This window comes from Homo sapiens, chromosome 13 (genome assembly GCF_000001405.40).
Source record: "Homo sapiens chromosome 13, GRCh38.p14 Primary Assembly".
Classification (NCBI taxonomy): Eukaryota; Metazoa; Chordata; class Mammalia; order Primates; family Hominidae; genus Homo; species Homo sapiens.
Window position 1 is genome coordinate 41,505,668 of NC_000013.11, and position 13,176 is coordinate 41,518,843.

The window sequence follows — 13,176 nt, forward strand, 5'->3', positions numbered from 1 at the left end:
AGGATGTGTCACTGAGATTTTGTGGTTGTATGTTATGTTGCTATGGCTGACTGATAAATTAGTTAAAGTTCCTTTTGACGCACTCCAATGTTCTCTTTGCTGAATTTATAAGTAAAAGTATTTCCCAAACTTTGGTTAGGGTATCTGCTGGAATCTAGATGCTCCTAAGTCCAGGAGGCCATCTCCAAATCCTGGGGAGGGCTGCAGCAAGTCTAGAAAGAAAGAAAGAGGATTTAGGAAATGCTAATCAACCTGGAATAAGAATCTGTTCTTACGCTTTGAAAAGTTTGTTGTAAAATGAATGCTTCCATTTTATCTTTAGGTCAAAACTGTAGAATGTTCAGCTCTGATGAGATAAACTGAGGCTGCTTGGGAGAGAATTTTTGGATCTGCCTGGAATTTGTGCAATCTGAAATGAAGACCATGGAGGCTCTATGTGAACCACGAGACTAGAAAGAATGATGCCCATTCTCCTGCTTCCAGGAAGGACTGTATTTTTACACATAGTATTTTTGTTCTGACTATGACAAAAATACATACACATTTTGGAAAGTACAGAAAATAATAAAGAAAATGAAAACAATCTACAATTCTACTACCCAAAGATGATTACGATTGGCATTTGAAATTTTCTGAGTTTACAAAAAAATGCCTTTTATCCTGCCTTTTAAAAAATGCATAGCATTATATCTGAAGAATTCTTTCATGTTGTTAAAGACTCTTTGTAAACATTAGTTTCAAGGAATGATACTATTTCGGAGATGGTTTTCCTGTTATTTGTGTTACCAATTCCCTAATGTTAGGAATTTAGTTATTTTCAATTTTTCACAAGGGTAAATAATGCTTAAATAAGCATTTTTACACACATTTTTGTTACTTATTTATTTTTAAGACAAGTTCTTGTTCTGTCACCCAGGCTGGAGTGCAGTGGTGCAATCACAGCTCACTGTATCCTTGACCTCCCAGGCTCAAGTGATCCTTCCACCTCAGCCTTCCTAGTAGCTGGGACTACAAGTCTGCACCACCAAGCTTGGCTAATTTTTTATATCTATTTTTAGTAAAGATGAGGTCTCACTATGTTGCCCAAGCTGGTCTCAAACTCCCGAGCTCAAGCTCCTCCCATCTTAGCTCCCAATGTGCTGGGATTCGAGGTTTGAGCCACTGCACCTGGCCCTGGCCTGTTAGTTTTTATTGTTATCTTAGAACAGATTACTAAATGTATAAAAGGAACACACACACACACACACACACACACACACACACATATATATGTGTGTGTTAGTCTGTTTTCATGCTTCTGATAAAAACATACCCAAGACTGGGAGACTGGGCAATTTACAAAAGAAAGAGGTTTATTGGACTTACAGTTTCACATGGCTGGGGAGGCCTCACAATCATGGCAGAAGGCAAGGAGGAGCAAGTCACATATTATGTGGATGGCAGCAAGCAAAGAGAGAGCTTGTGCAGAGAAATTCCCATTTTTAAAACCATCAGATCTCATGAGACCCATTCACTCTCATGAGAACAGCATGGGAAAGACCCGCCCCCATGGTTCAATCATATCCCACCAGGTCCCTCTCACAACACATGGGAATTATGGGAGCCACAGGATGAGATTTGGGTGGGGACACAGAGCCAAACCATATCATTCTGCCCCTGGCTCCTCCCAAGTCTCATATCTTCACATTTCAAAACCAATCATGCCTTCCCAACAGTCCCCCAAAGTCTCAACTCATTTCAGCATTAACTCAAAAGTCCACAGTCCAAAGTGTCATCTGAGACAAGGCAAGTCCCTTCTACCTATAAGCATGTCAAATCGAATGTAAGTTAGTTTCCTCCATGGGTACAATAGGAGTACAGGCATTGGATAAATACAGCCATTCCAAATGGGGGAAATTGGCCAAAACGAAAAGGCCACAGGCCCCATGCAAGTCTGAAATCCAGCAGGGCAGTCAAATAAAGCTCCAAAATGATCTCCTTTGACTCCATGTCTCACATCCAGGTCATGCTGATGCAAGAGGTGGATTCCCATGGTCTTGGGCAGCTCCACCCCTGTGGCTTTGCAGGGTACAGCCCCCATCCTGGCTGCCTTCACAGGCTGGAATTGAGTGTCTGCGTCTTTTCCAGGTGCATGGTGCAAGCTGTTGGTGGATCTACCACTCTGGGGTCTGGAAGACAGTGGCCCTCTTCTCACAACTCCACTAGGCAGTGCCCCCATAGGGACTCTGTGTGGGGGCTCTGACCCCACATTTCCCTTCTGCACTGCCCTAGCAGAGGTTCTCCATGAGCACCCACCCCTGAAGCAAAGCTCTGCCTGGATATCCAGGTGTTTCCATACATCTTCTGAAATCTAGGTGGAGGTTCCCAAACCCCAGTTCTTGACTTTTGTGCACTCGCAGGCTCAACACCACATGGAAGCTGCCAAGGCTTGGGCCTTGCACCCTCTGAAGCCACGGCCTGAGTTCTACATTGGCCCCTTTCAGCCACAGCTGGAGTGGCTGGGACCCAGGGCACCAAGTTTCTAGGCTGCACAGAGCACGGGAGCCCTGAGCCTGGCCCAGGAAACTGAATGCCTTTAACAGCACCTTTAATAGCACCTCTTGAATGCTTTGCTGCTTAGAAATTTCTGCCAGATACCCTAAATCATCTCTCTCAAGTTCAAAGTTCCACAAATCTCTAGGGCAGGGCAAAATGCCGCCACTCTCTTTGCTAAAACATAGCAAGAGTCATCTTTTCCCCAGTTCCCAACAAGTTCCTCATCTCCATCTGAGACCACCTCAGCCTGGACCTTATTGTCCGTATCACTAGCAGCACTTTTGTCAAAGCCATTCAAGTCTCTAGAAAGTTGGAGTTTCCCACATTTTTTTGTCCTCTTCTGAGCCCTCCAAATGGCTCCAACTTCTGCCTATTACCCAATTCCAAAGTCGCTTCCACATTTTTGGGTGTCTTTTCAACAACGCCCCACTCTGCTGGTACCAATTTACTGTATTAGTTCGTTTTCACGCTGCTGATAAAGACATACCCAAGACTGGACAATTTACAAAAGAAAAAGGTTTAATTGGACTTACAGCAAAGATTTTTAAAGTATCCTCAAAGAATACCAAGGAGAACTAAAACAGAAACCCTCACACATAGCTGGTAAGAGTATAAATTGGCACAATTTGCTTCAGAAATTATACCCTGAGTCTTAAGAATATTCATTTTGGCTGAGTGTGGAGGCTCACGCCTGTAATCCCACCACTTTGGGAGGCTGAGGCAGGAGTTCGAGACCAGCTTGGGCCATATGTCGAGGCTACTTGGTATTCTAGACCATGATCTGAGGTCAAGCCAGTGGACAGGAAAATCCTGAGGTCAACCTGACCTCAGGTTGAAGAACTAGCCCAACAGGACGGTTATAAGGGGAGGTTCGTTTATGATTTTGCTCCACGAGGATTGCTCATTCTACGTATCTATTATTTGTAAAAGATCAGCACATAATAATCCATCCACAAAGGCCGTTTACCTTTGTCTCTGCTAAGGGTTGATTTTCCATCTGATCCAAAATAAGCAGCCAAATGTACTACTGTATTAAAAGTAAAAACATCAGGAATCCAGATAAAGGTGAGTTTTAATGTTCTTTGCTTTTTATTTTGGCTTCTAAGGTGGAGTCAAAAGCTGTCTAGCAACCCCTAGCTGGGGTAAAATAATTCCTATGAATGAACTCAGGGTCCTCTGAGGACCAGGCAGGAGAGAAGGAAGAACCAAGAAGAAAGCAAGGGAGAGACAAATGAGGAAACAGAACAAGAGCTGAGAAACCAGACACAAAAGTTGTCTCTGATGTGAAATTAGACAAAATGCCATGACTATTGGCTTAGGGCACACCACTTAAAATGAACATCTTAATGAGTTTTATTCTATGTGTGTGCATTATTTCCGTGGGAAACATGGCAGGTGTTAGGCTAAGGTTTGGGTAGGTGATGGTTAGTCCGCTTGACATCTACAAGTTTAAGAAAGGCCCCTTTCCTTGGACTTTGAGAGGATTTTGAAAAGAAAAGCGATCACTGGAAGGTTTTAGGACCGCCAAGAAGGCAATTTTACAACATTCATTAGACATACAGTGTGAAACATCTCTGCTTTGTGTTTCTGGACAGTAGAGATGACATGGCCTTCAATGGCTGGGGTGACTATTCCCCTCCAAAATTAAAGACTTGGAACTTAATTAGGAAATTGAGCTTTCAGAAGAATTTGGCCGCCTTTTATTTGTTCTCAAAATCCACTAGTCAATTAAACAACTCATTTGAACTTCCACTTCTTGCCAAAGTAGACTAAGAGAGGCAGGAATTACCCTCCTGTGGGCCTGTCTTACAGGGTAAGAAAAACCAAACGGTTTTGCCTGCTCTGACACACACTCAACATGACTCCCCTGACACCAGATTCTCCAGTGGACACAGCTGGGAGGTGTCCTATAATTCAATTCTGGAGATGCTGTCAGATCCTGCAGGTTGAAGACTCAGTCCCACCGGACCACCCCCACTTCAGATGCCAAGTCCCAGGTGGTGACCTGAACTTTTGACCAATGGGCTATAAATTGGAGTTCCCATGACCGCCTCCTTGGGTTTGATTAGTTTGCCAGAGTGGCCCTCAGAACTCAGGAAAACACTTTACTTCTGTTTAGCCATTTATTATAAAGGACATTACCAAGGATACAGATGGACAGCCAGAGGGAGGAGATGCACAGGGCTAGGTATGGGAAGGGGCACGGAGCTTCCATACCCTCTCTGGATGCGCCACCCTCTGGGAACCTCCAGGTGTTCGGCCATCTGGAAGCTCATCTGCACCCTTGGCATTTTGTGTTTTTATGGAGGCCTTATTACATATACATGATTGATGATATCATTGGCCCTTGGTGATCAACTTGACCTTCAGCCCCTCTCTTCTCCCTGGAGGTTGGGGGAGGGGGTGGGGATGAAAGCTCCAACCCTCTAATCCTGCTTGGCCTTTCTGGTGACCATCCTCCACCCTGGAGCTATCTAGGGGAGCCCAAGAGGAGACAAAGTTGCCCAGAGAAAGAACTCTGGAAGTCTGCAGAGGGGTCTCGTGAGCATTATGGTGAGCACTGAAGAATATATGTGAGGAAACTAAGCCAAGGATGGGGAAAGACCCACCTGAAGGACTAGAGGGAGAGTCTTTCCAACAAATGGTGCTGGAACAATTGGTATCCATGGGTACAAAGATAGACCTGAATGTAAAACTGCAAAACATCTAGAAGAAAACACAGGATCTTTATGATCTTCAGTCAGGCAAAGATTTCTCAGATAAAACACTGCAAGCAAGATCTTTAAAAGAAAAAATGGATAAATTGGCCTTCATCAAAATTAAAAACTTCTGCATTTGAAAGAGATAGCTAGGAGAGATTTGTACACAAAAATACTCATAGCTTTATTTGCAATGGTAAAAACCTGGCTGCAAGTCAATGTCTTCTTTCCCTCATCCTTGTCAACAAGCGTTATTGTCTGTCTTTTTGTTTTAGCCATCCTAGTGTGTATAAAGTAGTATCATTTCCCTGATCGCTAATTGTGTGGAACATATTTTCATGTGCTTATTGGCCATTTGTAAATCTTCTTTGGAGAAATGTCTTCTCAAATCCTTTGCCCATTTTTCAACTGGCTTGTCCTATTGTTGAGATGTAAATGTTCTTCATATATTCTGGATACAAACTCCTTATAAGATATATGATTTGCAAATATTTTCTCCCATTCTGTCTGTCGTCTTTTCATTTTCTTGATGATGTCCTTTGAAGTGCAAAAGTTTTAAATTTTGATGAAGCCCAGTTTACCTTTTTTCTTTTGTTTTTTTGCACCTTTGGTGTCACATCTAAGAAATCATTACCTAATCCAAAGTCATGAAGATTTGCATCTGTGTTTTCTCTGTGAGTTTTATAGTTCCAGCTCTATTTTAAGTTAATTTTTGTATATGGTGTGAAGTTGTGGAGATATGTTCTTTGTCTTGATTATGGTGATACACTGGTGTACATACATACTAAAACTTAGCAAATTATACACCTAAGTGCAGTTTATTGTATGTCAACTATATCTCAATATATCAGCTTTAAAGAGTGATTTCTTAATAATGTAACAATAATACATATTTATGATATAAATGTTTTTAAATAGAAAGGTATATAGAGATAAAAAATCACAGATAGCCCCATCACTGACTGTTAACATTTTGTTGCTTTTCCATTTTATTTCAGTCTTTGTCAGTTTTATTTTAAACATCTTTATCGTGTTTTAATATTTTTCAAGAATATTAAGAATATTTTTAACACTAAATAAGAATGACTATTTTATTTGTTTAATTAACATTTAATTAAAATTAAAATGTAATTAAACAGTCCATTAAAAATAAAATTTAAAATTAGCTAAGATTCCATATTTGAAAAAGTTTGGAACAGGAGAGGACTGGAGTCTTACAGGATCCCAGCTGGGAAAGGACTTGTTCTCCCTAGATTCCTGTTGTACTGTTTAATTTTTTTATAGTGTGCATAAAAATAAATTCATTTCCATTGAAAAGATACATAACCTTTCTTTTGTCTGTTCTCAGAAAGAGCACCTTTAATCCAGACATGTTCTGATTCCTCAGTGTCCTCACGGCTGCAGCTTAAGAGGCTCTTTTGCCCTTTCTTGGGCTCCCTTGGGTGAATTTCGATGGCTTTCCCAGTGGGAAAGGAGGGAGAGGACCAGGCAAGAGCAAGAATCTGCTGAGCACGGAGCGCAGCGCACGGAACCCCACACTGCTCACGGTCCGGTTGGTATCACCATATGCTGGGTGTGTTGGCATGAGAGTGAGAGGAATTCCTCTGAGGGGAGTCTTCACCATACCCTAATCTAAGACAGGATTTAACCTAAGGCTAGGAAATGGCCACCAAACCTCAGCCTTCCACAGCACGAGGTGGTTCCAGCCTACCCCATCCGGAACAGGTCAGCCCCTCCCGCTGCGTGTTAGTTTCACCTCCTAGAAGTTTCTCAGGGCAGCTACTGGCTGTGGAGGAGAGGTGGGGGCGCTGCCTGGGAGCCCCTGGTGGCATGACAGGGGGAAATCTTGTTTTTCCCGTAAGCGCTTCACTTTATCATCTTTTACAGAAATCTGTTTTCCAATAATATAGCAGTAGCTGAATTTCCAACCAGAAGCAAGGAAACCCATCATCTGAAAGTTGAAATTAAAATAAATTTTAGGTTAGCAGTTCAACAAATAGTATCTCTCCTAGTCCTTTTGAGCTGCTGTAACCCACTACCCTAGACATAACACAGTGCTGGGTGGCTTACAACAATAGAAATGTACTTCTCACCGTTCTGGGGGCCGAAAGTCTGAGATCAAGGTGCCTGCAGGATCGGCTCCTGGGGAAGGCCCCTTTGCAGGTTGCAGACTGGAATCCTGTCTGAGGTCCCTTTTATAAGGCACTAATCCCATTCATGAGGGCTCCACCCTCATGACCTAATCACCCCTCAGAGTCCCCATTTCCTACTACTATCCTATTGATGGCAAGGACTTCAACATATAAATTCTGGGGGTCATAAACAGTGACTGGAGGCCCACTCCGTGCCAGGCCCTGTGCTAGGTGTTGGGGATAGTGACTTAGGTAAGACTGAAGTGGCCCTGCTCTCTGGGACTCAAGTGACTCTATGTGAATAGGGGCCTGCTCAGAGGCACAGAGAGGGAACTCACCCAGACTGGTAGGGTCAGGAAGGGCTTCCTGGAGGAAGTGGCATGTCCACAGAGATTTAATGGATGAGCACATGTAGCCAGGAGAAGGCAGAGGGGAGAGTATTCCAGCTGAGGACACAGCATGAGGACGGCACCTGGTAACCAAGACGCTTGTCATCTCTGAGCCTCAGGAAAGTTGGTAACTGTTCCAACCTGTCCTCAGCTGTCTTGTGGGGGCAGTGAGGAGCACTCCTGTGCCTGCACTTCAGCCAACCTGTTTGAGGTCATGAGTGAGGCTGCGGTCATTATGGGGAGATGCCCAGAGGGAAAAGTTCTTAAGCACATGGGGCTGGGCCTTCAGCCAACCACGCATGGTGAGCTTCTCACTCCACTGCTGACCCTGGCGATCCAGATTTAGTCCAGGGAGACAGCAGGTTTGTTCACATACTTTGGTGCAATTTGTCTGATCAGATTTGTTAGCCACCGGGCAATGGGATGGAGACGTTTACGTGGACGGACAATGAGAGGGCGTTGGAACCGGAAGCTCTGGGTGCATGGCCCTGGAAAGAGACCAGGCCAGCGACCATGAAGCTGAGCAAGGGTTTGCCTGGGGCTGGCTCTGACTAGATAATAATAACGAGTGCTTATTGATTGCGCTACAATCAATCCTAACAGCTTCACATATATTAACTCATGGGAAAAACTGAGGCCCAGAAAGGTCAAGTAACTTACCTAGCACAAAGCTACGTAGCAGTAGAGCTGGGATTTGAAAGTAAGTTGTCTGATACTATTCTACCTCTCCATGAGGGTGGAAGCTGATGATGGCATTAACCTGTGCAGCATTGATTGTGCTCCAGGTCCTACTCAGGCCAGGTATTGTTCTGGGTTCCTGAGATTCACCAGTGAACAAGACCAGCAAAGGCCCTGCTTTCATGGGCTTATGTTCTAGTGGAGAGACAGGTTAAAAAAAAAAAAGATAGTTAAAAAATAATTTCAGAGAGCAACAAGTGGTATGGAAAAATTAAAACAGAAATGTGACAGAGAGTAACAAGGAGAATTGGAATGAATTTAAGTGGCTTGGAGGTCGCAGGAAGAGAATGAATTGACAGGACCTAAGCGTGGGCCATGCAGAAAGATTGCATCTCAAGGACTGTTTCCTTGTCTCGGTAGATGCTGTGAGGTCAGCACGCCAGAAGTCATCATCCACCCAGTTTTTATTTCTTAGAGATGGAGCAGCCACCCCAAAATTAAGGCAGTCCTAGAGTTTAATGTTTAATAAATAAAGGAGCATTATTTTAAAAATTTTCCCTATTTGTCCAGTGATACCAGGTTTTTAGTTTGGCTCTTCATTTTGCATTTAATATTAAACGTGTTACTACTTACACCTGAAAAGAGATCCCTTAGGAACAAAGACTCACAGCGTTTGCATTACAAACTTCCCTGTGCTGATTTTGACTGAGGATAAACATCTTTCTGGAATGGACTGTGAATGGAAAGGGAAAATGTCACAATTTGAATGCAATTCAAAGTAACATCAGAGAAAGGTCAGTGCCTTCGCATGAGACCTCTCTTTTCAAAGTAAACAAGTGGAGCATAAAAGCACTTTGGGAGGTTTCTTTTCTTTTTTTTTGTTTGAGACAGAGTCTGGCTCTGTTGCCCAGGCTAGAGTGCAGTGGCGCAATCACGGCTCACTGCAACCTCCACTTCCCAGGTTCAAGCGATTCTCCTGACTCAGCCTCCCAAGCAACTGAGACTACAGGTGCCCACCACCAAGCCCAGCTGTTTTTTGTATTTTCAGTAGAGACTGGGTTTTACCAGATTGGCCAGGCCGGACCTCAGGTGATCGGCACCTGATTCTCCAGTGGACACAGCTGGGGGGTGTCCTATAATTCAATTCTGGAGATGGTGTCAGATCCTGCAGCTTGAAGACTCAGTCCCACGGACTGCCCCCACTTCAGATGCCAATTACTAGTCCCAGGTGGTGACCTTTTGACAAATGGGCTATAAATTGGAGCTTGAGTTCAACTCCTGACCTCTGGTGATCCGCCCACTTAGGCCTCCCACAGTGCTGGGATTACAGGCGTGAGCCACCGTGCCCAGCCAGCACTTCAGGAGTTTTATGAGACCAGTGCCGCTGGCTCCTAGACTGACCTATTCGATTGTGGAGTGTCACCCCTGGACCCCACCCACAAGCCCTAAGAGCTTAAAAGTCTACGGGACAAGGTTGGTTCTGACATAACTCACGGTTAGCAGCTGGGTCCCTTGAAGGGGAGCAGGAAGTAAGGAAGTTTCAGTGGCCAAGTGCGGTGACCACCTGCCTGTGCCAGGCCCCAGTGACGGGGTGGAGGGGTCAGTGCACTGCACCCTGGGATGCCAGGTGGACACGGGTTCCTAGTCATGCTTTCACTCTCCCCTGGGCCTGTCGCAGGTGTGTTCTTTCCGAGCCTCCCCTCCTTCCTTTTGCCGTAACTCTGGCGATGGCCAACAGTGCGGGGAGGGCAGGATAACTGCAGCCAGGGTACCCAGCCAGGAGGAGCTGGGGACGCTAGGGTAGAACAGGTCTGGTGTGGGAACAGAAAGGACAAAGGCAGGGAGCAGCAGTAGTCAGCCAAACCACGAAGTGGCAGCAAGTCCTGGCCAGGTGGATGGGGCGGGGGCTGGCAGGAATGCCACGGTGGGTCAGGTAATGTGTACAAATGCCCAGGCAGGGACACCCATGGGGACTTCCTCTGGGAGCAGGTGAGGGGCTGGCCAGTAGTGGGGAAAGTGGGCTAGGTGGCTAAGGCACAGCCTAGGCAGCAGTCTGCTGGGTGACCTTGGGCAAAGGACTTAATCTCCTTGGGCCTCAGTTTCCTTGTCTGTCAAAAAGGATGGCCCTGTCCTTCCCCACATGCTTGGGCTTATGATGTGGATGAGGTGATGAGAATCTCAAGGGCCTGGGCTCCAGGCAGGTTGCCAACTCAATATAATATGATGAAGACCCAGTTCTCAGACTAAGATGCTGGGCGTGGCTTGCATCTGGAAAGTTCTAAGGTCAGAACTAGGCCTCAAGGTGGGGCTGAAAAGGCAGCAGAAGCTGTCGCAGAGGACCTGAGAGTCAGGCTGGCGCAGGGGTCCCCCAGGGGTGGGTGGAGATGGTTCTGCAAGGTGCTTAAGTGAGAAGCAAAATGAATGTTGAGAAATGCCTCATGACATAGCCCCTTCTTGGAGAGTTAGAAAGCATCGACCGTATTAGTAGTTTTGAGAACTCCTGCTGTTAAGACACCTCTTTAATCCCAGTGATTCTCATACCGACCTTTCCCCCTTTTCCAAATACCTGGGAACTATATACGCTAGAAACGTTTGGGTTTCAAATCTCTCAGAAGTCCTTCTTTCTCTCTTTGGGATTGGTCTTAGGGTGGGGGCTGTGGCAGAGGATTCTCCCCAGCCACAGGGATTGATGAAGGAACATAGCATAGGAACCTGGCCGGGCCTCATGCTATTTTATTTTTCTTTTTTAAGAGAATAAACTTTTGATTTTGGAATAGTCATTAATTTATGGGGAAGTTGTGGAGATAGCCCAGAGAGTTCTCTGTACCTTCATCCAGCTCCCCCTAATGTTAACGTCTCACACAACCAGAGCGCATTTGTCAAAGCTAAGAAATTAACACTGGCCCAGTATGGTTAACTCTCCACAGACTTTATTCAGAGTGTGCTTTATTCAGTTTTTCCACTCTGTCCTTTTTCTGTTCCAGGAACAAATCCAGGATATCACATTGCAGTTAGCTTGCTTTTCTTTTTCCTTCCGTATTCCTTTTACCCTCAGTCTGTTTGGTTGTTGTTGTTTTAGCTTCCTCCTCTCGTACTTCGTGTCTGAGGCCTGGAGAGCAAGGTGAGGGGGACGGTGAGGTGAGCACAGGAATCCTCTGCACCAGGACAGACACCGTGATGCCTTCTATGAGGTGAGTGGTGGCTGCAGGGAGAAGCCCGCATTGTGGCCAGATGGAGAGGGAGTTCGGGACACCATCACCAGTCATGAGCAGGCTGAGGAGGCTACAGGCCAACTGGCTGAGAGAGCAGACTCTGCATCTGGTGGGTAACTAAATGGGCTGGTGGAGAAATCCATGAAGCTTGAGGGGCCTGCCATGTCTACAGCTGCTTTCTGAGGAAAGTAGCCCCAATTGTTCGCCATCTCAATCACAGGTGCAGGTGGGGTTTGTTAGTGTCAGTACCTTAGCATGTTAGCAGAACCCAGCCCTGCTACCTGAGACCCAGATGGTTCCATCAGGCGTCACAATGTGGGTCAAGGCAATGGGCCAGGTGAGGGGGCACTCAGGCACCAGGGTGGCTTGGCAAGACTGCTGCTCAGAGGTGCCCCATGGTGATGGAAACAAGCCAGTCAATCCTAGCTCTCCCTACATGAAGGGCAGGCTGTGTAAGCTCCGGGACTATCTGCAGTACCAGGAAGAGACACTCCTGGGTCTCTCTGAAGCCCACTCCATGCACCAGTGGAGCAGACAATTTCGCACCTACCCACCATGGATTTATCCCCTTCTTTGCCAGCACAGCCCTGATTTAGTTCTGGTCTCTACCCTTTGCCCAACAGCCAAATGCTTCAGGAAGGCTGGCTTTGAGGGGCAAGTGCCAGTTGGTGTGCAAACTCATCAAAGAGCTCTGATACTGCCTGCCAGTAGTTGCTTTAAGCATGGACATGTGTATAATTCTGGCCAACAAGCCAGATGTGAGGGGAAGTCCCCTAGTGTGTAGGGGGCAGGAGAGAGGGATAGGTGTTCTGAGAAAGGTTTCCTCACTCTCAACAAGCGACACAAAGATGAAATGGCTCCTTTTCCTGAGTCTTGGCAATGGTATGCCCAGATGTGACACCTGGAACGTTGGTAGCCATCTTGTGACTGAGAGAGCAGTGAGATGAGCAGAAGGGAATGATGGGAAGAACCAAGGTCCTCTCCATGTCACTGAGTCACCCAAAAAAACCAAGCTTGGAGCCTGCTGCCTTTGGACTTCTTGTTGTGTGTAAGCCAGTTGATGTAGGCTTTTCTTGTAACTTGAGATCATGGAATCACCCACTACCAGATCTGTGACCTGAGGGACTGCACCCCATGAGGCTGTCCCAGTTCTCCCTCTTGGTCCTGTGAATTCATGCCTGAGATCTCTGGATTAGTTCCCTGTTAATCTGCCAATAATTTAGTGGTTTAAACCAATGCAAATTTATTCTTTTACCATTCTGGAGGTCAGAAGTTTAAAATCAAGGTGTTGGCAAGGCCACGTTCCTTCTGAAGTCTTCTGGAGAATCCTGTTTCTTGTCTATTCCAGCTTCTAGAGCCCCCCACCATTCTTTTCCCCTCTTGTAAGGACCCTTGTGATTCCACTGGGCTCACCTAGATCATCTAGGATCATCTTCTTATCTCAAGATCCGTAACACAATCCCATCTGCAAAGTCCCCTTTACCGTGTAAGGCAGCATATTCACAGGTTCTAGGGATTAGGGTATGGATAT

At 45.7% G+C, this 13,176-nt stretch overlaps 1 long non-coding RNA gene across 1 annotated transcript in view; it reads left to right on the forward strand.

The window, feature by feature from the left end:
• The first annotated feature begins 11,500 nt into the window (after positions 1-11,500).
• Positions 11,501-13,176, forward strand: part of LOC105370174 (uncharacterized) — a 46,924-nt gene continuing 45,248 nt past the window's right edge. Inside the window, exon 1 of the long non-coding RNA XR_941901.2 lies at positions 11,501-11,624. This is a non-coding gene — a long non-coding RNA (uncharacterized LOC105370174). The remainder of the gene's footprint in view (positions 11,625-13,176) is intronic.